Source organism: Homo sapiens, chromosome 19 (genome assembly GCF_000001405.40).
Source record: "Homo sapiens chromosome 19, GRCh38.p14 Primary Assembly".
In the NCBI taxonomy this organism is placed as follows: domain Eukaryota; kingdom Metazoa; phylum Chordata; class Mammalia; order Primates; family Hominidae; genus Homo; species Homo sapiens.
In genome coordinates this window covers 10,383,395-10,408,427 of record NC_000019.10, presented here as the reverse complement: position 1 = coordinate 10,408,427, position 25,033 = coordinate 10,383,395, and the positions used below count along the sequence as shown (strand labels likewise).

General features: G+C 54.1%; 1 protein-coding gene and 1 non-coding gene across 2 annotated transcripts, besides 7 other annotated features; both read left to right on the top strand.

Annotated features, from left to right (window-relative positions):
- Positions 3,351-3,400: a silencer, noted in NCBI's record as "silent region_10067". NCBI's record gives its function as "represses an Ori minimal core promoter by ATAC-STARR-seq in GM12878 lymphoblastoid cells {active_cell/tissue: GM12878}" and the evidence as "EXISTENCE:reporter gene assay evidence [ECO:0000049][PMID:35858748]".
- Positions 4,361-4,710: an enhancer, noted in NCBI's record as "active region_13965". NCBI's record gives its function as "activates an Ori minimal core promoter by ATAC-STARR-seq in GM12878 lymphoblastoid cells {active_cell/tissue: GM12878}" and the evidence as "EXISTENCE:reporter gene assay evidence [ECO:0000049][PMID:35858748]".
- Positions 4,886-17,295, top strand: CDC37 (cell division cycle 37, HSP90 cochaperone). Its single transcript, NM_007065.4, has 8 exons — positions 4,886-5,050; positions 12,225-12,500; positions 12,885-12,993; positions 13,085-13,200; positions 13,285-13,407; positions 14,987-15,169; positions 15,271-15,342; positions 16,722-17,295. The coding sequence occupies exons 1-8, from the start codon at positions 4,949-4,951 to the stop codon at positions 16,875-16,877; spliced, it is 1,137 nt and encodes a 378-aa protein (NP_008996.1). The 5' UTR covers positions 4,886-4,948; the 3' UTR covers positions 16,878-17,295.
- MIR1181 (microRNA 1181) lies at positions 4,890-4,970 on the top strand. Its single transcript, NR_031592.1, has one exon. It is a non-coding gene; the product is annotated as a microRNA 1181 (primary transcript).
- Positions 5,111-5,170: a silencer, noted in NCBI's record as "silent region_10066". NCBI's record gives its function as "represses an Ori minimal core promoter by ATAC-STARR-seq in GM12878 lymphoblastoid cells {active_cell/tissue: GM12878}" and the evidence as "EXISTENCE:reporter gene assay evidence [ECO:0000049][PMID:35858748]".
- Positions 19,173-19,673: an enhancer, noted in NCBI's record as "H3K4me1 hESC enhancer chr19:10499431-10499931 (GRCh37/hg19 assembly coordinates)". NCBI's record gives its function as "activates a minimal SCP1, AML or CMV promoter by ChIP-STARR-seq in naive H9 embryonic stem cells {active_cell/tissue: H9 hESC(naive)}" and the evidence as "EXISTENCE:reporter gene assay evidence [ECO:0000049][PMID:30033119]".
- Positions 19,534-19,593: an enhancer, noted in NCBI's record as "active region_13964". NCBI's record gives its function as "activates an Ori minimal core promoter by ATAC-STARR-seq in GM12878 lymphoblastoid cells {active_cell/tissue: GM12878}" and the evidence as "EXISTENCE:reporter gene assay evidence [ECO:0000049][PMID:35858748]".
- Positions 21,836-21,895: an enhancer, noted in NCBI's record as "active region_13963". NCBI's record gives its function as "activates an Ori minimal core promoter by ATAC-STARR-seq in GM12878 lymphoblastoid cells {active_cell/tissue: GM12878}" and the evidence as "EXISTENCE:reporter gene assay evidence [ECO:0000049][PMID:35858748]".
- Positions 21,976-22,365: an enhancer, noted in NCBI's record as "active region_13962". NCBI's record gives its function as "activates an Ori minimal core promoter by ATAC-STARR-seq in GM12878 lymphoblastoid cells {active_cell/tissue: GM12878}" and the evidence as "EXISTENCE:reporter gene assay evidence [ECO:0000049][PMID:35858748]".

Below are 25,033 nucleotides of genomic sequence, written 5' to 3'. Positions count from 1 at the left end.
CTCCTGCTGTTGCCTGGGTTGGTATGCAGCGGTGCGATCATAGCTCACTGCAGCCTCCAACTCTTGGAGACCCCGTCTTTAAAATGAAATGAAAAAAAAAATTAGCCATGTGTGGTGCTGTGCACCTGTAATCCCAGCTACTCAGGAGGCTGAGGCAGGAGGGTTGCTTGAGCCCAGGAGTTTGAGGCTGCAAGTGAGCTGCGATTGCCACTGCACTCCAGCCTGGGTGACAGAGTAAGATCCTGTCTTTAAAAAGAAAGGAGGGCTGGGCGCAGTGGCTCATTGGGAGCACTTTGGGAGGCCAAGACGGTCGGATCACCTGAGGTTGGGAGTTTTCAACCAGCCTAGCCAATATGGTGAAACCCCATCTCTACTAAGAATACAAAAAATTCGCTGGGTGTGGTGGCGCGTGCCTGTAATCCCAGCTACTCGGGAGACTGAGGCAGGAGAATCACTTGAATCCGGGAGGCAGAGGTTGCAGTTAGCCAAGATCGAGCCACTGCATTCTAGCCTGGGCGTGACAGAGTGAGACTCTGTCTCAATTAAAGAAAGAAAGAAAGAAAGGAAGGAAGGAAGGAAGGAAGGAAGGAAGGAAGGAAGGAAGGAAAAAGAGTTCATGTCCTTTGCAGGGACATAGATGAAGCTGGAAACCATCATTCTCAGCAAACTAACACAAGAACAGAAAACCAAACACCGCATGTTCTCACTCATAGGTGGGAGCTGAACAATGAGAATACATGGACACCAGGAGGGGAACATCACACACTGGGGCCTGTTGGGGGGTGGGGGGCTAGGGGAGGTATAACATTAGGAGAAATACCTAATGTAGATGACAGGTTGATGGGTGCAGCAAACCACCATGGCACGTGTATACCTGTGTAACAAACCTGCACGTTCTGTACATGTATCCCAGAACTTAAAGTATAATAAATAAATTAATTAGTTAAAAAAAGGAGAAAGAAAAAAGAAATGCAGGTTCCAGGTTTAAATCTCTGCTCAGCCACTCAGTCCCCATGGCCACTTTTCTGTGATGTGTATTAGTGGGATTATGTTTGGGTTTGAGTGTGTGTGTGCTGAATTCAGCTTCTGCAGGAAGTCTTTCTAAACACCCAGCCACACCCTCTATTTCTATCAGTATCCTAATAACAATGTGTCATTATATCTTTTTGATCATGTTATTTCATTTCAGTTTCCTCCACTAAATGTCAGCTCCACTGGGGCAGGGAGTTTTGTTCTGTTAATTGCTGTGTCCCTGGCACCTGGTACATAGTAGGTGCTGAATAAATATTGAATAGATGAAAGCAGTGCTGTGTCTATATGCTATGTGGGGAAGAGTGGGCACTGGCTGGACACCATGAGTTCCTGGGCACACAGTGCTCAGTTCTGGTCTCTGTCCACAGCTGTTCACAACCCTTGCTTTAACCACCTTCTTTTTTTTTTTTTTTTTTTTTTTTGGTGAGGCAGAGTCTCACTCTGTCTCCCAGGCTGAAGTGCAGTGACGTGATCATGGCTCACTACAGCCTCGACCTCCTGGGCTCAAGTGATCCTCCCACCTCAGCCTCCCAATTATCGGGATTACAGATGTGAGCCATCGTGCTGGGCCCATCTTCAATTTTGTAGAAATGTTGACATTCTGGGATTCACTGTCTCCTGTATCAAATTCAAGGGAGTGGGGTGGATTGGTTTATGCTAAGCCTTCTTCCTAATCTACAGTTCTAGAATCTAGTCTTAAACTAATCCCCTCTTTAATTCATTTAAGATTTTCTTTTTTTTGAGTTTTGCTCTTGTCACCCAGGCTGGAGTGCAATGGCACTATCTCAGCTCACTGCAACCTCTGCCTCCCGGGTTCAAGCCATTCTCCTGCCTCAGCATCCTGAATAGCTGGGACTACAGGCGTGTGCCACCATGCCCAGCTAAGGATTTATTTTTTGTTTTTATTTTTTTTTAGAGATGGGTGTCGCTGGGATCCTCCAGCCAGCCTCCCGAGTAGCTGGGACTACAGGCTCACACCAGGGTGCCACGCTCATTCAACATTTATTGAGCACCTACTGTGTGCCAGGCACTGTTCTAGACCTGATCCTGCCCTCATGAGCTCAGACCCAAGGAGGAAGGCAGGCAGGATCCAGAAGTCTTACTTAATCTGTTTTTTGTTTTTTGTTTTTTTTTCTGACAGAGTCTTGCTCTGTCACCCAAACTGGAGTGCAGTGGTGTGATCTTGGCTCACTGCAACCACCGCCTCCCGGGTTTAAGCAATTCTTCTGCCTCAGCCTCCCGGGTAGCTGGGATTACAGGCGCCTGCCACCACGCCCGACTAATTTTTGTATTTTTAGTAGACATGGGGTTTCACCATGTTGGCCAGGCTGGTCTCGAACTCCTGACCTCAAGTGATCCGCCTGCCTCGGCCTCCCAAAGTGCTAGGATTACAGGCGTGAGCCACTGTGCCCAGCTTCTCCTTTAATCTTGAGTGCCTTTCCCTAGTCTCTCTCTGTCCGAGGACAGAATTTTAGTCTTCACAGTCTGAAATCACCCGCGGGGATTTGTATGTTTATACAGGGATCCTGCTCCCTCACTAGCCAGGAGCAGGGACCCCTACTGGGTTTGTTGGTTGCTGCTGCCCCAAAGCCTGGTCACAGTGCCCAGTACATCGTAAGTAGACACTTGGGAAAGAGATGTGAAATGAGCTAATAAATAAAATGATGGCGCAAAAGCAGGCTCCGCGAGCACGATTTCGCGGAATCCTAGGTGTGTGTCATTACCCACTTTGCAGAGGAGGAAATTGAGACTCAGGAAGGCAAAGCCGCCTGCCGGGCCCCACCGCAGCTCAGTGGTATGTGGCTATGGGATGTAGCAGAAGAAGCAAAGGTAGCCCCAAAAAGCGTTCCCAATTCCCGCAAACCTCCCCCCCACACACACACACAGGCAGGAGAGACATAGCAGGGTTTGCACCGATGGGGGTGGGATGGGGACCGGGGACAGAGGGACAGTGCAAAGCAACTTAGGGGTCTCTCTCCTCAGTCCCCAGGGCTGGAGGTGCTGTGCTGGCAGATTAGGAAATGCTTGGGGTTGATGGGGAAGCTTCCGGCGCTCTATCCCCAGTTCTGGAAGCTGAGGCTCCGGGAACCCTGTTTTGCTGAAGCTGGGCAGCTCCAGTCTCCAGAGCCAGGAAGAGACCCCCGCGCCTATCCGGGAATCCCCGACATCTGGGATTCTCTCCAAACACCCCCAGGCTGATGACGGGGCCGAATCCCTAAAGGGCATACGGTGGGGGTGGGGGTACGACTTTCCTGGGGAGCCGGGGAACCCCCTACCTTCCTGGCCCCCTCCCACTGTGGCACCGTGTCCCCCTCCCCACCGCAGCTCGCAGCCCCAAGCTTACCTTGCGGGGGGCCTGGGGAGGGGATGCCCCGCCCTCCCTGGCCTGGGGGGCGGGAGGGGACGGGGGTGTCCAGACCCTTTGTTTGCTGGTGTGTGTGTGTATGTGTGTGTGCGATTGTGAGAGCCGCCGGGGTGTGGGTCCGTGCGCGCGCGTGCCCGGGCCGTGACGGCCACTGATGTGCTGGACTGCCAGGGTGGAGGGGAAGAGGGAGGGGTAGGAGATGGGGACTCCCCCGCCCCTGCCCGCCCACTCGCGGGTTTGAATGAAGCGCGAGGGGGAAGGGCGGCAGCGGGAGGACGTTTTTGTCCGATGGCCCTTCCCGCTCCATGCACCGGGGAATCCTCCCCCTTCTGGAGAACTTCGCTCGCTCTCTCCAGGCACTGCCTCCAACGTCGGCTCCAGGGGAGACTAGGAAGAGGCGCCCCTCACCGGAGTGGCTGGAGCTCCTCCTATCCAGCCTGACCCCCGAGGGAGCACCCTTTAATCTGAGATAATCCTGGCCCAAGGCTGCAACACGGCCTATTATCCTGGTATCAAAGCGTGGATTGGGATGCATGGAAGTGTGAGGTGGTCGAGGCCCTGCATGCTTAGAGTAATGGAGTCCTTAGAGCCCCGGCGGAGGAAGCGTACCCCAAGACGAACGGGGAGGGGCTATGCGTGGCCCCAGACTGTGACGACAAGGAAAGCCCCCTTCCACCCCTCCACGATTCCCCCCACCAAGCGCGGGGCCAGGAATACGCGCCGTGGGCTAGACTCTAGCGACACCCAGCGGCCAGCGGGGTGGGGAGCCGAGACCCGTTTTGAGGGGGTCCGGGTGATTCCAAAGTGTGTGTGTGTGTGTGTGTGCGTGTGTGTGTGTGTGTGTGTGTGTGTGCGCGCGCGCGCTCGCGCGAGTCCTCGCTGCGAATGGCAGGAGGTGGAAGACAAGGAGAAGGCTGTTGCCGAGGCGGGGAAACCCCAGCTCCCAAGGCAGGGCCACAGTCTCCCCTCCACGTTTAACCCTGCAAGGGGAGGGCCATACCACCCCCGATTTAGACACCCCCAGGGCAGGTCCAGTCCTCCTCGGGCTGAGAAAGTCCGAGGAGTCATCAGGCGCCCCTCTCCAGCGCAGGCTTAGGTCCCCGTTTACGAAGGGCAGGGGGAGGGCCTTCCCGCCGTGTCCCTACCCCTTGCAGACGTCACTGCGGCGTGGCTGAGGGGACAGTCCTCTCAGTCTCATCAACCGTCCCCTCCCTGCCACCCCAAACGCCCACCGTGGAGCGGCGGGAGATGAGGGGGGCTCGGAGTTGAAGCGCGCACTCATATGCCCCCAGGAGACCTAGCGGAGCCCCAGCGCCCGATGACGCGGAGTCTCTGCGGGAACTCCAGGGGGCCGGAACACTTACGCAGGGCCCTTTAAGGCTGGCTGGGTAGCTAGTGCCGCTGCCGCGGTTACTAGGGATGTGACGTCACACAGGGCGGGGTTTCCCGCGCTCGGCGGAAGCGGAAGGGGCGGGGCTCCGCGCTCCTAGTCTCCACTGCTGCCGCCGTCGCCGCCACCCGAGCCGGAGCGGGCTGGGCCGCCAAGGCAAGATGGTGGACTACAGCGTGTGGGACCACATTGAGGTGTCTGATGATGAAGACGAGACGCACCCCAACATCGACACGGCCAGTCTCTTCCGCTGGCGGCATCAGGTAAGGCGCGCGCGCCCATCCCTTTCCCCACTCCCGGACCCCGCTTCGGAGTTGTGATCCCCGATACTGCCCAGGGACCCCGCTGTTCACACCTAGGATTCTCACCCCCCCAGTCTGGATTTTCAGGAGCTTCGATTCAACTCCGGGACCCCAGTACCATTGGGACCCTGAGTCCCTGCCCTGGATCTCCGCTCCCCCACTCCCTGCTCCGATTTTTGCGTGGGATTCCCTATTCACCCCCTAGAACTTCTTCATAGTCTGGAGTCCCCTAGACGAGTCTTGGGGGTTCTCCCTAATTCTGTTCGGCAGTTAACATTTATACCCAGAACTCTGCCTCAAAGTTTGGACCCCAAATTCTTCTAGATGATCCCTCATCCTATTCGGGTATTCACTTCCTATCTGGGATCTCCCATCGCCCCCCCACCTCCGTAGTCTGGACCCCCAATACTTTGGTCTGTCCCGGGATCTACTTTCCGGGATCTTGATCCGGGGTTCCCATTCAGATCCGGAGTCGCCACTCCTTTTCTAAACGGAACAAGGAACTCTGTGCTACTCTGATATTCCTGTCCCTGCCCACACCCAGGACCCCCTTCCTAGAGTGTAGAACCGTCCCCCTTCAGGATCCTTAGTCTCACCGAGTACTTGGGTTTTGGAATCTGGTTCCCCTCTGGATCTAACTACCAGCTCCAACCCGATAGAGCCTCACATTCCAGCCTCTCCTTTGGCCTCCGGTAGACCCATTTCCCATTATACCAGGAAATCCTGCCCACGTGGCTTCCGGCCTAGCCAGAGCCCCTGCTCCTACTTGGTATTGCAGACCCTGTCACCACCCACTTCCCAGACTGGCTTCCTGTATGAGCCTCAGCCAGCATTGGAAACTCTCCCCTAACTCAAGCCCAGAACCCCAAACCCACCCCACCTTTTGTCCCCAGCCTGTTAGCTACTCTGTGACCCAAATTGTCCCTGCTCTTATCCAGGGACTCTCCTGGTCTGATTCTAAATTCACCACCCCTTCTTCTATCTGACCACAACAGAGGTCCCGAATCCAGACCCCAGAATCCCAAGCCTGGGTGATCCATGTCCCACCACCCTCTCAGTGCTCACGAGCCAATGGGATGACTAAGACTTAAAGGTTTAACCTCCTGCTACCCCAAATGAGTGTGCCTGCATTACATACCAGTGTCTGTTGTATTCCTTTTTTTTTTTTTTTTTTTTTTTTTGAGACGAAGTTTCCTTCTTGTCGCCCAGGCTGGAGTGCAGTGGCACAATCTTGGCTCACTGCAACCTCTGCCTCCCGGGTTCAAGTGATTCTCCTGCCTCAGCCTCCTGAGTAGCTGGGATTACAGGCATGATGCACCACCATGCCTGGCTAATTTTGTATTTTTGGTAGAGACAGGGTTTCTCCATGTTGGTCAGGCTGGTCTTGAACTTCCGACCTCAGTTGATCCACCCACCTCGGCCTCCCAAAGTGCTGGGATTACAGGCGTGAGCCACCGCACCCAGCCATGTTGTGCTCTTAAACGAAGGGCATATACCTCTCAGAACCTTCTAGTGAGGATCTCTTACCCCACCCTCCCATAGGGCAATTCCCCATCATTTATCCAGAAACAACTAGAAGGTCCCTTTCCCATCCTTCCAGAATACTCTGGAATACGGCATTAGTCTCTTCATCTAGCTCCCAGTCCCACTTCCAGACCTATTCCTTAAATCCTGAGTCTCCTGGGTAGTGTACCTGCCAAGCAAGCCACTGGAGTGTGGGAAGAAAGTTCTAGCGCTTCTATTTCTTGCCGTGTGTAACATTTTATTATGAAATATTTAAGACTTCCTCAAAGCTCCAAAGACTATTCTTGGGAAGACCTATTTCTGTCACATAAAGAGGTTAATCTTTACTACTGTGGAGAATGGTTTGGTCCTGCCGGGTGGGAGGGCCCCCCTCCTGCAGCGTAGTGTACCTGCCACACCCTCCTCCCTCTGGCACAGAGCTTTTCCTGTCCTGCCGCTGAGAACCCCGGTGGTTGTAGTGGCATGTAAGGGAGGCAGGGGGCTTCAGCGTCTCCAGCACAGGTTCAAGGACAGGCAAGCTTGGGTTCCAATCCTAGCCCCACCTCTTGCTGCTTCTTTCTTTCTTTGATGTGGCAAGACTCACAAGAAGCCTCCCTGAGCCCATGTGAAACCTGGGATAATATGGCCCCACCTCCCTGAGACCTTTGTAAGAATGAATTAAGACTGGGTCAGGAAAACTTGGGGCAGGTTTGGAAGGAAGCATTGTGGAGGGGAAGGAGAGATTGCTGTCGTTCAGAGCACAGGCCTGACTAGGTTCAAATCTCAGCTCTGTCTGTATCACTCACGTGCTGCGTGACTGCCAGGGAGCTGTTTGATCGCTCTGTGCCTCAGTTTCCCTACCTGAGAATCTGAATGATGTCCACCCCATAAGGTTGTTGTAAGGCTTACCTTATTCATTTAATATTTGTAATCCTTTTGGGGCAGTGGCTATTATCATCATCATCATTTAAATAATTTCTGTTCATGGTTAAAAAAAAAAAAATCTGTAGCCACATGTGGTGGCACATGCCTATAGTCCTAGCTACTCAGGAGACTGAGGCAGAAGGATCATTTGAGCCCAGAAGTTCAAGTCCAGCCTGAGCAACATAGCAAGACCTTGTCTCTCTCTTTTTTTTTTCGAGACAGGGCCTTGCTTTGTCACCCTGAGATGGCAGTGGCGCCATCTCAGCTCACTGCAACTTCCACCTTCCGGGCTCAAGTGATCCTCCTACTTCTGCCTCCTGAGTAGCTGGGACCACAGGTACACACCACCATGCCTGGTTGATTTTTGTACTTTTTGGTAGAGACAGGGTTTCACCATGTTGCCCAGGCTGGTCTCAAACTGCTGAGCTCAGGCAATCCACCTGCCTCAGCCTCACAAAGTGCTGGGATTGTAGGTGTGAGCCACCAAGCCTGGCCTAAGACCTTGTCTCTTAAAAAAAAAAATTTCAAAGTTTCCAGAAGCGGACAAATGAATCCCTTTTCTCAGCCCCAGCTCGCCGGCTCTCCTGCCCAGAGACAGCTGCTGTTAGTGGTTTCTTCTAATGAGTTGTATGACATTGAGATTCTGTGAGCCTCAGTTTCCCTAACTGTAAGGCAGGAGGGTAGTGACATCTGTGGGCCCTGCTTGCTGGGGTGGCTTCTCCCCTGCCCAGCCTGCTACAGCCCCTCCCCGATAGGAGGTGTAAAGCCCAGGCTGGGCAGGCTGCCGCCCCCGCCAACTCCAAGAGGCCTTTTTTAGCTGCGGCCTCCCTGGCAGTTGTTCAGAGGACACAGGGGAGACTGGTGGCAGCCCAGCAGCGGATTGCAGGGTGGTGGGCAGGCTCCAGGGTGACACAGGCCCATCGTGGAGAAAGGGAGTTGGAGAGGCCACAGCTGCTTTTTTTTTTTTTTTTTTTTTTTTTAAGACGGAGTCTCACTCTGTTGCCCAGACAGGAGTGCAGTGGTGCCATCTCGGCTCACTGTAACCTCCACCTCCCAGGTTCAAGCAATTCTCCTGCCTCAGCCTCCCGAGTAGCTGGGACTACAGGTGCGCGCCACCATGCCCGGCTAATTTTTGTATTTTTTAAGTAGAGATGGGGTTTCACCATGTTGGCCAGGCTGGTCCCGAACTCCTGACCTCATGATCTGCCCGCCTGGCCTCCCAAAGTGTTGGGATTACAGGCATGAGCCACCACACCCAGCAACTTTTTTTTTTTAAGAGATGGAATCTCACTATGTTGCCTAGGCTGGTCTCAAATTCCTGAGCTCAAGTGATCCTCCCACCTCGGCCTCCCAAAGTGCTAGGATTATAGGCATGGGTCACTGTGCCCAGCCTGCAGCTGCTGTTTATCTCATGAGGTATAGCTTTTTTTTTTTTTTTTTTTTTTTTTCAGACAGGGTCATGCTCTGTCGCCCAGGCTGGAGTGCAGTGGGGCGATCTCAGCTCACTACAACTTCTGCCTCGGGTTCAAGCGATTCTGCCTCAGCCTCTGGAGTAGCTGGGATTGCAGGCGCCTGCCACCACGCCTGGCTAATTTTTGTGTTCTTAGGAGAGACGGGGTTTCACCATGTTGGCCAGGCTGGTTTCAAACTCCTGACCTCAGGTGATCCACCCGCTTCGGCCTCCCAAAGTGTTGGGATTACAGGAGTGAGCCACCACGCTCGACCACGTAGGCCTTCTTGACCCCTTATACATATAGGGGAATCCGAGGCTCAGGCTGGCTGTGTCAGTCCCCTGGGGTATTAGAGTAGGGGCCAGCTCTGCCTGGCCCTGCCTTAGAACCTGGGGACACAGCCTCAGATAAGGCACAGGAATGAGTCAGCAGACCATTCAGGTGGCAGTGACAAGGACGGAGATGGTAACAGTGGGACACACCTACTGAGGGCTGTTTTGGAAGCATTTTCCATAGAGTTAGTCATTCAGTTCTCACGGCGATCCTGTGAGACTCCATTTCACAGAGGGGAAGACCAAGGCTGGGAAAGGTTTCAGTGACATGGCCAAAGTTCCATCTCCCGTCAGTGGCACAGCCGGGTGCTGTGACCATGTAGTAACAACCACTCCCAGTTATTGAGCGTGTACTCTGGGCCAGAAATTAAACTAAGCATTTGAAGGACATTTCCTTTTTGAGGCCCCAGAGTGGTCCCCAGAGAGAGAGAGAGATTGTTCTCTTGCACAGATGGTAATGACCCTGGCCAGTACAGGAAGGGTGCGTGCTGAGGGCCCACATGGCTCGGGACATTTTACTCTAATCATCTCCTTAGTTTCTTCCAATATGAGCTTGTGCAGTCAGCATTGTTGACTGTTTGACAGATGAGGAAACTGAGGTTACAGGAGGTTAGGGGATGGCCCGGGATACCCAGCCGGTACATGGTGGCTGTGGGCTAGGACCCAGGGGCCGTTGCCCCAAGGCTGTCCTCCAGCACCCTCACCACATCGTCAGATGGTCACAGGAGGTCCTTTAGGGATCAGTGGTGCCTCAGGCAGGGAGCATTTGGGGAAGGCTCTGTTGAAGCTGAGTTTTGGGTGCAAAAGCAGGTAAGGGAACCGCACATGCAGAGGCCAAGAGGCAAGACAGAGCCCGTACTTTCGGGGAACGATGAGGGCCAGTATCTGCCTGGGACCCAGGACCAGGATGCCAGGATCAGAAGTCCCATCTGAATTCAGACCCCCCAAGATGTAGTGGGGAGGACTCTGGTCACGTGGTCAAATGCATGGGCTTCACAGGCCTCCCTGGTGGCAGCTGTGCCTGGATTGGAGAGGGTCAGCAATTGAAGGTGGTGGCACGTTTCAGGGTTTCAGGGTTTGATTAGTGGCTCTGGATAGAGCAGCCTCCACTGAGGTTCAGGAGAGGTGATGGTGGAGCCACGCAGGGGTCTCAGGAGAGGCCTGTACAATCCGATGGGGCCCAGATGGAGGTCTGAGGGAGACAGGGAGTGAGGCGGGGACCAGGAGCCTGAGGAGATGAGGCACTGTTATAAGGAGAAAGAGGAGTGCCTGGGGAGTGACATCTGGGGCTGGGGTGAGCGGGAAGCAGGTAGACACCAAGCTGGGGCTCAGGAGGGCATGCTGGGCTGGAGACAGAGCTAAGAGGGCCTTGGCAGTGATCCTGGGGCAAGGTTATGGGTGGAACAAAGAAACATCTAGAAGGGGCCCTGGTGCAGTGGCTCATGCCTGTAATCCCAGCACTTTGGGAGGCCAAGGTGGGTGGATCACTTGAGGTCAGGAGTTCAAGACCAGCCAACATGGAGAAACCCCGTCTCTATTAAAAATACAAAATTACCCAGGCGTGGTGGCGCGTGCCTGTAATCCCAGCTACTAAGGAGGCTGAGGCAGGAAAATTGCTTGAACACGGGAGGCAGAGGTTGCAGTGAGCCAAGATCACGCCACTGCACTCCAGCCTGGGCGACTCCGTCTCAAAAAAAAAAAAAAAAAAAAAAAGCCAGGCTTGGTGGTTTGTGTGCACCTGTAGTCCCAGCTACTTGGGGTTGAGGCAGGTTGAGCCTGGGAGATCAAGGCTGCAGTGAGCCATTATCACACCACTGCACTCTAGTCTGCATGACAACAAGACCTTGTTCAAACAAAACTGAACAAAATAAAAACAAAAAAAAAAACAAGCATTTGCTGAGCCCGTGCTTTGCACCAGGCCACGTTCCTGGTTCTGGGAACAAAATGGCGAACACGTTCCCATATTTAGAGAGCAGGGCTTCATTCATTGGAGGGGGGCAGTACCCAAAACGTGATAAATAATTGTCATATGATGTTAGTGGTTGCTGATGTTGAGGAGGCAGGGAATTCCAGACAGGGGCAGCGGGAAGTTGCCATCATCAGGAAGGTGGTTGGGGAAGGGGTCCTCGCTAAGGCAACATGGAGCCCAGATGGCACGGGTGCCATGGAGTCAGCTGTGGGGGGCTCTGAAGGAAAAGCATTCCAAGTAGTTGGAACAGCCAGTGCGAAGGCCTTGAGGTTCAAGAAAAAAGTGGGCTCCGCAGAGTGCAGTAGCTCCCGCCTGTAGTCCCAGCACTTTGGGAGGCCGAGAGGGAAGGATCGCTTGAACCCAGGACTTCAAGACCAGCCTGGGCAACATGGCAAACCCCATCTTTACTGAAAATACAAAAATTAGCTGGGCGTGCTGGTGCACACCTGTAGTCCCAGCTACTTGGGAGACTGAGGTGGGAGGATCGCCTGAGCCCAGGGAGGTCGAGGCTGCAGTATGTCATCATTGGGCCACTGCACTCTGACCTGGACGACAGAGTGAGACCCTGTTTTTTGTTTTGTTTTGTTTTGTTTTCTTAAACAAAAAAAATGGCCTCAAGAAAAGGTGAGAAAAGTGAGGGGCTGGTGTAGCTGGAAGGAAGAGTTACCAGGGGAGGTGCCGAGGCAGATTGTGTAGGGCCCATGTAGGCTGTGGTGACAACTTGGGTTCTGCTGTGAGATGGGAGCCGCCAGGGTTCTGAGCAGAGGACGGAGGGACCTGACCCCACTTGGGTGTGCGCTGGCACCTGTGGGCGCAGGGGCGGAAGCTGGGAGACCAGGGCACGGGAGGTGGACGCGTACTTTTTCCTGGGGCCATCTCCGGTGCAGGGATTGGGTATGGGGCGGGGGTAAGGGACAGACGACTCCCCAGAGTTGATAGGCCGTCCCTGCCCGCAGGCCCGGGTGGAACGCATGGAGCAGTTCCAGAAGGAGAAGGAGGAACTGGACAGGGGCTGCCGCGAGTGCAAGCGCAAGGTGGCCGAGTGCCAGAGGAAACTGAAGGAGCTGGAGGTGGCCGAGGGCGGCAAGGCAGAGCTGGAGCGCCTGCAGGCCGAGGCACAGCAGCTGCGCAAGGAGGAGCGGAGCTGGGAGCAGAAGCTGGAGGAGATGCGCAAGAAGGAGAAGAGCATGCCCTGGAACGTGGACACGCTCAGCAAAGACGGCTTCAGCAAGGTGTGCGGGGCGGGCGGGGCGGGCAGTGCGCATGCGCAGCCAGAGAGCCTGCAACCAGGACGCATGCGCACCCAATGCCTGGTCAGGGGAGGACCCCGGTGGTGTAGTTGAAGAGTGTGGTGGGGGGCGGGGAGCTGAGGGATGGACGGGGGCCACGTGGGAGGGGGGACAGGCTTGGGGGGCCGGGCGGATGAAACACCCCACCGGTCCCCTCCTCTGATCTGCCCCAAGGCCCATGCCCACGCTCCCGCCACCTTGATGCTCATGGCTTCGTCACCACCTCCGCCGTGGATGGGATGGGCGCTGCGACCACGGCCCGCCCGGCCGCGCTCGAGGCGCTCCGCAGCCTTGCCCCAGCCCACTCCCCCTCTCACCCTACCACAGAGCATGGTAAATACCAAGCCCGAGAAGACGGAGGAGGACTCAGAGGAGGTGAGGGAGCAGAAACACAAGACCTTCGTGGAAAAATACGAGAAACAGATCAAGCACTTTGGTGAGTGGGGCTTGTGGGTTATGGGGGGCAAGGTCGAGGCAGGCCCTTTGCCTCCAGGGCCCTCCAGCACCTTGCCAGCATCTTCCCACAGGCATGCTTCGCCGCTGGGATGACAGCCAAAAGTACCTGTCAGACAACGTCCACCTGGTGTGCGAGGAGACAGCCAATTACCTGGTCATTTGGTGCATTGACCTAGAGGTGGAGGAGGTGAGTGGAGCTTTCCCCGGGACTGTGAAAAGGCGCTGCCATGAGGCCGCCACTTGGTGACGCTGTGCCTGTTCTTCCTGGCAGAAATGTGCACTCATGGAGCAGGTGGCCCACCAGACAATCGTCATGCAATTTATCCTGGAGCTGGCCAAGAGCCTAAAGGTGGACCCCCGGGCCTGCTTCCGGCAGTTCTTCACTAAGATTAAGGTAGGGTCCCTGAGCTGCCAGGTGGCTGGAGGCCCCCTCCCCAGGGAACCAGCCCACAATGCTCTAGGTAAGGCCGACTCCTCTCCACTGGGACTCAAGCCCCTCCAGTCACCGCATCCTAGATCAGGAGAGGGTGGGGCCAGGGAGGAGGAGAGAAGTGGGCAGATTCTGCCAGACTTTAAAAGTGGAGGCCGGGCGCAGTGGCTCACGCCTGTAATCCCAGCACTTTGGGAGGCTGAGGTGGGCAGATCACCTGAGGTTGGAAGTTTGAGACCAGCCTAACATGGAGAAACCTCATCTCTACTGAAAATACAAAATTAGCCGGGCATGGTGGTGTGTGCCTGTAATCCCAGCTACTCGGGGGGCTGAGGCAGGAGAATCGCTTGAACCTGGGAGGCAGAGGTTGCTGTGAGCCGAGATCGTGCCATTGCACTTCAGCCTAGGCAACAAGAGCGAAATTCCATCTCAAAAATAAATAAATAAATAAATTAATTAATTAAATAAAAGTGGAGGTCAGGCCAGGCTTGGTGACTGAGTACTATAGTCCCAACTATTTGGGAGGCTGAGGCAGGAGGATCACTTGAGCTCAGGAGTTTGAGCTGTGGTTTGCCACTGCACTGCAGCCTGGGTGACAGAGCAAAACTGCATTACAAAAAAATGTGGGAGCAGTAGGATGTGCTGAAGGTACCCAGGTGAATATGTGGGTAAAGGACAAAGGTGAGGGTGCCTCTAGGGTTTTGGGTTTTAGTTCATTTTTGAGACAGAGTCTTGCTCTGTCACCAAGGCTGGAATGCAGTGGCGTGATCTCAGCTCACTGCAACCCCTGCCTCCCGGGTTCAAGCAATTCTAGTGCTTCAGCCTCCCAAGTAGCTGGGATTACAGGTGCCTGCCAGCCTCAGGGTTTTTTTGTTGTTGTTGTTTTGTTTTTTTTGAGATGGAGTCTCACTCTGTTGCCCAGGCTGGAGTGCAGTAGCACGATCTCGGCTCACTGCAACCTCCGCCTCCTGGGTTCAAGCGATCCTCCAGCCTCAACCTCCTGAGTAGCTGGGACTACAGGCATGTGCCACCATGCCCGGTTAATTTTTTGTATTTTAGTAGAGACGGGGTTTCACCGTGTTAGCCAGGATGTTTTCGAACTCCTGACCTCGTGATCCGCCCGCCTCGGCCTCCCAAAGTGCTGGGATTACAGGCGTGAGCCACCGCGCCCGGCCTAGCCTCTAGGATTTTTAACCTGCGTACCTGGAGGAACAGGGCTATCCTTACCGAGATTAGGGAGACCAAGGACAAGGCAGGCTGGGAGGTGGCCATGTTGAGTTAGAGGTGCCCATGCAGGGACACTGAGGACATGAGTGTCTCAGATCTGCAGTAGAGCAGGGCTCCCAAGCAGGTGGTCTTTGGCAAATGCCAGATGAGGTCCCCGGCGGGGGAGCCCAGGCCTTGGGGAGCCCTTCATGTAGGTCAGGAATAGACTTGGGGAACCGTGGGGCGCCTCTGAGGAGCTGTGGCTGGAGGGTCCTGGGCCCCCCAGTCCCTCCTGAGCGTTGGGCCAGGTCCAGTGAGCACTGCCCAACCCCCATAGACAGCCGATCGCCAGTACATGGAGGGCTTCAACGACGAGCTGGAAGCCTTCAAGGAGCGTGTGCGGGGCCGTGCCAAGCTGCGCATCGAGAAGGCCATGAAGGAGTACGAGGAGGAGGAGCGCAAGAAGCGGCTCGGCCCCGGCGGCCTGGACCCCGTCGAGGTCTACGAGTCCCTCCCTGAGGTGGGGCTCCCCGGCCCAGGCGGGCAGCAGGAAGACCCTGAGCGGGACCCCCCAGGGCCACAGGGACCCAGCCCCTGACCCCAGCCCCTCTGTACCCCCAGGAACTCCAGAAGTGCTTCGATGTGAAGGACGTGCAGATGCTGCAGGACGCCATCAGCAAGATGGACCCCACCGTGAGTAACCCCCGCGCCCCATGCCTTCCCGGCGGGCCGTGTGTCTCCCCCAGCCCTGTGTCCCAAGTCTCTGAAGCCGGCTGGTGAAAGTGCCCCTCCAAGGCTTCTCCAAGGAGTAAGGGGGGTCGTGTCACCTTGGCACACACCCACATATATTGAGCACCTACTGTATCCCAGTATCCAGCAGATAAATGCTGAGCTTTGAGCGCATGTCCTTCGTGACTGTCACTGTTACTGTGACTGAGTCCAGCCTCAGTTTCCTTATCCAAACCACATTTTCTCTCAATATCAGCTCACAAAATGCGTGGGAAAGGGAGGTGAGCACATGGCAGGGGCTGGTAAACGCTGGCTGTTAATTGGATTTTGTCTACTTGTTTTTGAGAGACAGGGTCTTCCTCTCTCACCCAGGCTGCAGTCTCGACCTCCCAGGCTCAAGTGATCCTCCCACCTCAGCCTCCCCAAGTAGCTGGGGTTACAGGCTGACACCATGACATCTAGCTAATTTTTTTTTAAATTATGTTTTTATAAAGACAAGGTCTCACTGGCTATATTTTTGGAAGTGGTAATAGACGTTGAATCTAAGTAGGACACTGTTTGATCCTATTCCTACCACTTGGCTCACTGGTTGATCACACTGGTTTTCTCGTCTGTAAAATGGGTCTAGCTGCAGGACTGGCCCTGAGTTTCTAGAAGCTTCTATGGGCATAGCCATCTAGACCAGGTTCTGCAAACCGCAGCTCCCAGACTCACTGCCTGTCTTTATAATAAAGTTTTATTAGAACAAAGAAGCCACACTCAATTGTTTCCCTATCATCTACAACCGATCTTGCTCTACCACAGCAGAGTTGAGTCGTGATGGAGACCATATGGCTCACGGAACCAGAAATATTTAGTCTGTCCCTTTACCAAAAAAAAATTTGCTGGCTTTTGTTCTAGATTGCACTATCTAAATTTAAATTAAAGTTAAATAAAATTTAAATTTCCAGCTGGGTACGGTGGCTCACGCCTGTAATCTCAGTGCTTTGGGAGGCCAAGGCAGGCAGATCACCTAAGGGCAGGAGTTCAAGACCAGCCTGGCCAACATGGCAAAACCCCATCTCTACTAAAAGTAAAATTAGCCAGGCATGGTGACAGGCGTCGGTAACCCCAGCTACTTGGGAGGCTGAGGCAGGAGAATCACTTGAACCTGGGAGGTGGAGGTTGCAGTGAACCGAGATTGCACCACTGCACTCCAGCCTGGGTGACAGAGTGAGACTCCGTCTCAAATAGGTAAAATATCAATAGGCAGGAAGCCAGCTTGGGGATGTGCAAGGGACAACGGGGACAACGGGGACCACCGGCTGGCGGCCCCACCTCATCTGCCTGCCTTCTCCTCACAGGACGCAAAGTACCACATGCAGCGCTGCATTGACTCTGGCCTCTGGGTCCCCAACTCTAAGGCCAGCGAGGCCAAGGAGGGAGAGGAGGCAGGTCCTGGGGACCCATTACTGGAAGCTGTTCCCAAGACGGGCGATGAGAAGGATGTCAGTGTGTGACCTGCCCCAGCTACCACCGCCACCTGCTTCCAGGCCCCTATGTGCCCCTTTTCAGAAAACAGATAGATGCCATCTCGCCCGCTCCTGACTTCCTCTACTTGCGCTGCTCGGCCCAGCCTGGGGGGCCCGCCCAGCCCTCCCTGGCCTCTCCACTGTCTCCACTCTCCAGCGCCCATTCAAGTCTCTGCTTTGAGTCAAGGGGCTTCACTGCCTGCAGCCCCCCATCAGCATTATGCCAAAGGCCCGGGGGTCCGGGGAAGGGCAGAGGTCACCAGGCTGGTCTACCAGGTAGTTGGGGAGGGTCCCCAGCCAAGGGGCCGGCTCTCGTCACTGGGCTCTGTTTTCACTGTTCGTCTGCTGTCTGTGTCTTCTATTTGGCAAACAGCAATGATCTTCCAATAAAAGATTTCAGATGCTCTCTGGGCTGCTGGGAGGGCCGTTCAGGCAGCCCATCTCTTGTAGGTGGGAGGGAAACTTGGTGGGATATTGGGGGCTGAGCTGTGCTTCTCTGGTCCTTTGCCCACCAGCCATCGTGGGTCCTCGCCTCACACATGCTGTTCCACAACTTGGAACAGTCTTCTTCCAGAGGCCTCAAAAGCCCCCAACCTTCAGTCTCACCCACCCACTCCCTTGTCCCTACTTGGACCTCCAGAATGCAGGGTGGCCCAAGCTGATCACCACCAGAGGGCAGTAGTGATCTGCAAACCAAGTCACATTCCCTAGGGTTTTGTGGATCTGGCGCACCTGCCCGCACCCCACACCTTTCCAGCTTCCTACAACCTTTTGGAGCAGCATCCTGGATGGACTATATCTCCCCACCCTATGGCCAGCGCTGCCCCCAAACAGATTTTTTTTTTTTTTTTTTTTTGAGAGTCCAGCTATCACCCAGGCTGGAGTGCGGTGGTGGAATCTCGGATCACTACAACCTCCACCTCCCAGGTTCAAGTGATTCTCCTGCCTCAGCCTCCTGCTGGGATTATAGGCACCCGCCACCACACTCGGCTAATTTTTTGTGTTTTTAGTAGACATGGGGTTTCACCATATTGGCCACACTAGTCTTGAACTCCTGACCTCAGGTGATCCTCCCACTTTGGCCTCCCAAAGTGCTGGGATTACAGGTGTGAGCCGCTGCACTTGGCCCCACCCCCCCAAACATTCTTGATTCTGACCACTGCCTTTTGTCCCTATGGCCTTCAGGTCCCCATCGCCTCTGGCTCTAATTCCTGCCCCAGCCTCCTCCTCATTCCCCACTACAAGTCAGCCCCTGAACAGGCAGCAGCCAGAGGGTACCTGTGAACACCCAGGTCAGGGCATGTCCCACCTCTGCTCAAAAGCCTCGCAGGACTCCCCTCCCTGGGAGCAGAAGCCGAAGTCCTCCCTGCAACTGACCAGGCCCCCAGCACCATCTGCCTGTTGCCTCGCTGCCCTGTTGTCCCCAACTCCATGCTGGCCCTTGAGCACTTGAAATTTCTCTTCGTGTGGCTTTGGGTGATGCGCTGAGCCTCAGTGTCCCTGCTCTTAGGGCTAACGTCGTCGCGCTAGTGCCCTCCTCAGGCCGTAGTGAGGGGGACAAGTGAGGTAATGGTTCAGACAACTGGCACCTGGCACTCAGATTCTCTGAACGGGGACCTTGGCACTTGCTGGCCGTCTTCAAAAGTCACAAAATATTTCTGCCACAGGAAAAGTCTTAAAGAAGAGTGCACGGCCAGGCGTGGCTCACACCTGTAATCCCAACACTTTGGGAGACTGAGGCAGGAGGATCACTTGAGCCCAGGAGTTCAAGACCAGCCTGGCTAACATGGTGAAACCCAGTCTGCACTAAAAACACAAAAATTAGCCAGGTATGGTGGCACGTGCCTGTAGTCCCAGCTACTCAGGAAGCTGAGGCAGGAGAACTGCTTGAACCTGAGAGGTGGAGGTTGCAGTGAGCCAGGATCACGCCACTGCGCTCCAACCTGGGTGACAAAGACTTATCTCAAAAACAACAACAACAACAAAAAAAAAAAACAGTGCTGGGCGCAGTGGGGCGCACCTGTAGTTACAGATACTTGGGAGGCTAAGGCAGGAGGATTGCTTGAGCCCGGGAGGTCAAGGCTGCAGTGAGCTAAGATCAAAGTACAATAAATACCCAGGTTCACATCAGTTTAAGACATGAAATACCTCCGATCCAGTAGACTTATGCCTACCTCTCCTGGGGGACATCATCTCTGAGGGGACTGCTTGTCACTCAGACCACAGATCAATGCCACTTCTCTGAGGCCCTCCTTGACCTACTTTAATTCCCCTCATGCTCAGCCACCAAACCTGCCTCACATGCCTTTCTTCACACAGACCTGTGTATTGTCACCTCCCATGTACTGTGGGTGCCACCAGAGCACGGACTTTTTCTTGCAACATACACAGTGCCAGAAAGGGGACCTTCAGGAAACATTTGCAAAAGCATTGGATAAAAACCCCTGGAATGCTGTTGTGCCCAAGCCGATCACCACCAGGGGGCAGGAGTGAGCTGCAAATCTAGTAACTTTCCTTAGTGTTTTGTATGAGTGAGAACGACAGGTAGGAGCTGCAGGGGGACTCCTGGAACCCTGATTGAGCCTCAGACACCTTCCAAGATCTTTTTATTTATTTATTTTTCAGAGACAGGGTTCTCTCCATGTTGTTCAGGCTGGATTTGAACAGAGCTGAAGCAGTCTGCTCGCCTCAGCTTCCCAAAGTGTTGGGACTACAGGCCAGTGTGCCCTGCCGAGTAAAAATTTTAATTTTTGAGCGGGGCGCGGTGGCTTACGCCTGTAATCCCAGCACTTTGGGAGGCCGAGGAGGGCGGGTCACAAGGTCAGGAGTCCGCGACCAGCCTGACCAACATGGTGGAACCCCGTCTGTACAAAAAATACAAAACTTAGCCAGGCGTGGTGGCACGTGCCTGTAATCCCAGCTACTCGGGAAGCTGAGGCAGGAGAATCGCTTGAACCCGGGAGGCAGAGGTTGCAGTGAGCCAAGATCGCGCCACTGCACTCCAGCCTGGACAACAGAGTGAGACTCCGTCTCAAAAATAATAATAATAATAATAATTTTTGTTCATCATACACATTTTGGTGTTAATTTCAGTTTTTCAAAATACTGCATTCCTTGTTATTGAAGATTTTGTTTGTATTTTGTGAGACTGAGTCTCACTCTGTCGCCCAGGCTGGAGTGCAGTCGCATGATCTCGGGCTCACTGCAACCTCTGCCTCCCAGTTTCAAGGGATTCTCCCTCCTCAGCCTCCCAAGTAGCTGGGATTACAGGCGCACTCCACCACACCTGGCTTTTTTTTTTTTTTTTTTTTGAGACAGAGTCTCACTCTGTCGCCCAGGCTGGAGTGCAGTGGCATGATCTCGGCTCACTGCAAGCTCCACCTCCGGGGTTCACGCCATTCTCCTGCCTCAGCCTCCCGAGTAGCTGGGACTACAGGCGCCCGCCACCACACCCGGCTAATTTTTTGTATTTTTAGTAGACACGGGGTTTCACCGTGGTCTCGATCTCCTGATCTCGTGATCTGCCCTCCTCGGCCTCCCAAAGTGCTGGGATTACAGGTGTGAGCCACTGTGCCCGGCCCTTTTTTTTTTTTTTTTTTTTTTTTTTTGTGAGATGGAGTCTTGCTCTGTCGCCCAGGCTGGAGTGCAGTGGCCTGATCTCAGCTCACTGCAAGCTCTGCCTCCCGAGCTCACGCCATTCTCCTGCCTCAGCCTCCTGAGTAGCTGGGACTACAGGCGTCTGGCACCACGCCCGGCTAATTTTTATGTATTTTTAGTAGAGACGGGGTTTCGCTGTGTTAGCCAGGATGGGTTTGATTTCCTGACCTCATGATCCACCTGCCTCAGCCTCCCAAAGTACTGGGATTACAGGCGTGAGCTACCGCACCCGGCCTAATTTTTGTATTTTTTGTAGACACAGGGTTTCACTATGTTGGCCAGGTTGGTCTCAAACTCCTGACCTCAAGAGGACTGCCCGCCTTGGCCTTCCGAAGTGCTGGGATTACACACATGAGCCACCATGTGTGGCCCCCCCCTTTTTTTTTTTTAAGAGATGGGATCTGGCTCTGTCACCCAGGCTGGAGTGCAGTGGCACAATCATAGCTCACTGCAGCCTCTAACCTCTGGGCTCAAGTGATTCTCCTGCCTCAACCTCCTGAGTAGCTCAAATTACAGCCAAGAGACACACACTGCATCTGGCTATCCACCACCAGTCCTTTTATTTATTTTTTTTTTGAGACCGAGTCTTGCTCTGTTGCCCAAGCTTAAATGCAGTGGCACGATCTCGGCTCACTGCAACCTCCATCTCCCAGGTTCAAGCGATTCTCCTGCCTCAGCCTCCTGTACAGGCATGCACCACCACACCTGGCTAATGAAGTGTATTAACTCATTTGATGTCCCTGACATGCCTCTGGGTTTGGGACTAAATAGTCACATCTTGCAGAGGAGGAAACTGAGGCACAGTGGGGTTAAGGGGCCGCCCAGGATCACACAGTGATGGAGCTGGGGCTTGAACTCAGCCCGTCTGGTGCCAGCCTTCATGTGTGTAAGTTACTCCTCTGTATCCTCTCAGGCCAGCACCGAGTGTCCCATTTGGGGCTGCTCCTGAGAATTTTCTAGAGAACACAGGTTCACACACGTGCCCAAAGGAGCGTAGAATTTTTGTGGAAAGATTCCCAGGAGGCTGAGTGCGGTAGCCTCATGCCTGTAATCCCAGCACTTTGGGAGGCCAAGGCGGGTGGATCACCTGAGGTCAGGAGTTCGAGACCAGCCTGGCCAAGATGGTGAAACCCCGTGTCTACAAAAAATACAAAAATTAGCTGGGCGTGGTGGCAGGCGCCTCTAATCCCAGCTACTCGGGAGGCTGAGGCAGGAGAATCCCTTGAACCCAGGAGGCAGAGGTTGCAGTGAGCCAAGATCGTGCCATTGTACTCCAGCCTGGGCGACAAGAGGAAAAACTCTGTCTCAAAAAAAAAAGATTTCCCAGGAAATCCATCTCATGGTTGTTTTGAGGAGGAGACTGGCTGTTCCCTGAACTTTCTCACTCATGAAAACACAAAGGTATTTTACTTTTAATCCATCAACTCTTGGCTTTTCCCAGGTCCCAGGGGGCTCTGAGGAGGCCCCTCCCTGCAGCCCTTGCAGAGCCAGGGGAAGCCCCCAGCTTTTGTTCCTTCTGAGAAACCCGCCGTAGTGGCGTGGCCAACTGTCCTGGCCTGCCCAGGACTGTCCCAATTTTAGCATGGAAAGCCCCCCATTGGGGAACCCCCTCAGTCCTGGGAAACCCCCTCCTGTTAGTCACATGTGGGGTCTGGGGCCTCCCTTATGGACCAGGTCTGAGTTTGGGCAGGAGGCGCCAGGCCTTGGCAAAACAGCCTCCTTAGCCTCTTTTCTTCAATTGTCAAGTGGGGGTGCTGATACCACTTGCAAAGAAACTGAGAAGAGGCCAGGTGCAGTGGCTGGTGCCTGGAATCCCAGCACTGTGGGAGGCCGAGGCGGGCGGATCACGAGGTCAGGAGATCGAGACCATCCTGGCTAACCCTGGTGAAACCCCGTCTCTACTAAAAATACAAAAAATTAGCCGGGTGTGGTGGCGGGCACCTGTAGTCCCAGCTACTCGGGAGGCTGAAGCAGGAGAATGGCATGAACCTGGGAGGTGGAGCTTGCAATGAGCCGAGATCACGCCGCTGCACTCCAGCCTGGGCAACAGAGTGAGACTCCATCTCAAAAAAAAAAAAAAAAGAAAGAAACTGAGAAGACCCAGAGATGGCTAAATACCCACGCTCGGCCCCAGTGTGCAGGCTGGGAAAATGTCAGCTTTATTTATTTATTTATTTATTTATTTATTTATTTATTTATTTGATAGGGTCTTGCTCGGTTGCCCAGGCTGGAGTGCAGTGGTGCGATCACAGCTCACTGCAACCTCAACCTGTGGACTCAAGCGATCCTCCCACCCCAGCCTCCCTAGTAGCTGGGACTACAGGCGTGTATCACCATGCCCAGCTAATTTTTAAATTTTTTTTGTAGACACGAGGTTTCACTATGTTGCCCAGGCTGGTCTGGGACTCCTGGGTTCAAGCGATCCTCCTGCCTCTGTCTCTCAAAGTGCTGGGATTACAGGTGCCAGCCACCGCACCAGCTCATTGTTAGAATTGATATCGTTACTGGGAGTATGACTAGCATTGTTATTATTAATCGCCTCATGTGGCATTTCCTTCTAGTTCCTTTGGGAGCGGGGAATACCGGGTCCCAGGCCCACTCGGCCCACTGTGTTCTAGCATCTAATCACGGAGCATTGCCCCAATGGCTGTTGAAAAATCTGGCACTCTCTAGGCCGGGCACGGTGTCTCACACCAGTATTACCCAGCACTTTGGGAGGCCGAGGTGGGTGGATCACCTGAGGTCGGCAGTTCAAGACCAGCCTGACCAACATGGAGAAACCCCATCTCTACTAAAAATACAAAAAAGTAGCCGGGCGTGGTGGCGCATGCCTGTAATCCCAGCTACTTGGGAGGCTGAGGCAGGAGAATCGCTTTAACCCAGGAGGCAGAGGTTGTGGTGAGCCGAGATTGTGCCATTGCACTCCAGCCTGGGCAACAAGAGCGAAACTCCCTCTCTCAATAAAAGAAAAAAGGAAAAAGAAAAATCTGGCACTCTTGGCTTCTAGGTACTGTACTCTAAGCGGCGACAGAGAGGAAGCTCACAGCCAGCCCTCCCGCAGCAGGCAGGACAACAGCCAGGGATTCCTGGCTCCCAGGCCATTCATTCCCCTCCAGCTGTGGCTTCTTAAGCCACCTACTGGGCTGGATGCACAATCTCAGGCACTGAGGGCTTAGCAGACAACCAGACGGACCTCTTTCTGGTGCGGTCCTAGAACCGCAGACAGGCAATAGAACTTGTGCTCAAAGAAACTTCCCAGGGGCTGGGCACGGTGGCTCATGCCTGTAATCCCAGCAGTTTGGGAGGTCAAGGCCAGAGGTCCACTTGAGCCCAGCAGTTTGAGCCCAGTAGTTTGAGACCAGCCTGGGCAACATAGTGAAAACCCATTTCTAAAAAAATTACACACACACAAAAGTTAGCCAGCCGGCCAGGCGAGGTGGCTCACACCGGTATTCCCAGCACTTTGGGAGGCCAAGGCGGGAGGATCACGAGGTCAGGAGATCAAGGCCATCCTGGCCCACATGGTGAAACCTCGTCCCTACTAAAAAATACTAAAAAATTAGCCGGGTGTGGTGGCATGCGCCTGTAATCCCAGCAGTTTGGGAGGTCAAGGCGGGAGGACCACTTGAGCCCAGTAGTTTGAGACCAGCCTGGGCAACATGGTGAAAACCCATTTCTTTTCCTTTTTTTTTTTTTGAGATAGAGTCTCACTCTGTCGCCCAGGCTAGAGTGCAGTGGCGCGATCTCAGCTCACTGCAAACTCCGCCTCCCAGGTTCAAGTGATTCACCTGCCTCAGCTTCCCAAGTAGCTGGGATTATAGGCACCCACCAACACACCCGGCTAATTTTTGTATTTTTAGTAGAGACGGGGTTGGTGGAAGCCCATTTCTATAAAAAATACACACACACAAAAGTTAGCCAGGCGGCTGGGCGCGGTGGCTCACTTCTGTAATCCCAGCACTTTGGGAGGCCGAGGCGTGAGGATCATGAGGTCAGGAGATTGAGGCCATCCTGGCCAACATGGTGAAACCCCATCTCTACTAAAAAATACAAAAAAATTAGCTGGGTGTGGTGGCACACGCCTGTAATCCCAGCTTCTCTGGAGGCTGAGGCAGAAGAATCGCTAGAACCTGGGAGGCAGGGATTACAGTGAGCCGAGATCGTGCCACTGCACTTCAGCCTAGCAACAGAGCAAGACTCCGCCTCAAAAAAAAAAAAGTTACCCAGGCATCGTGATGCACATCTGTAGTCCCAGCTACTCAGGAGGCTGAGGTGGAAGATTGTGAATGGTGAATCTGGGAAGTTGAGACTGCAGTGAATTGAGATCACAGCACTGCACTCCAGCCTGGGCAACAGAGCGAGATTCTTGTCTCAAAAAAAAAAAAAAAAAAAAAAAAAAGAAAGAAAGAAAGAAGAGAAACCCAGCTGGGCGCGGTGGCTCACATCTGTAATCCCAGCACTTTGGGAGGCCAAGGCGGGTGGATCAC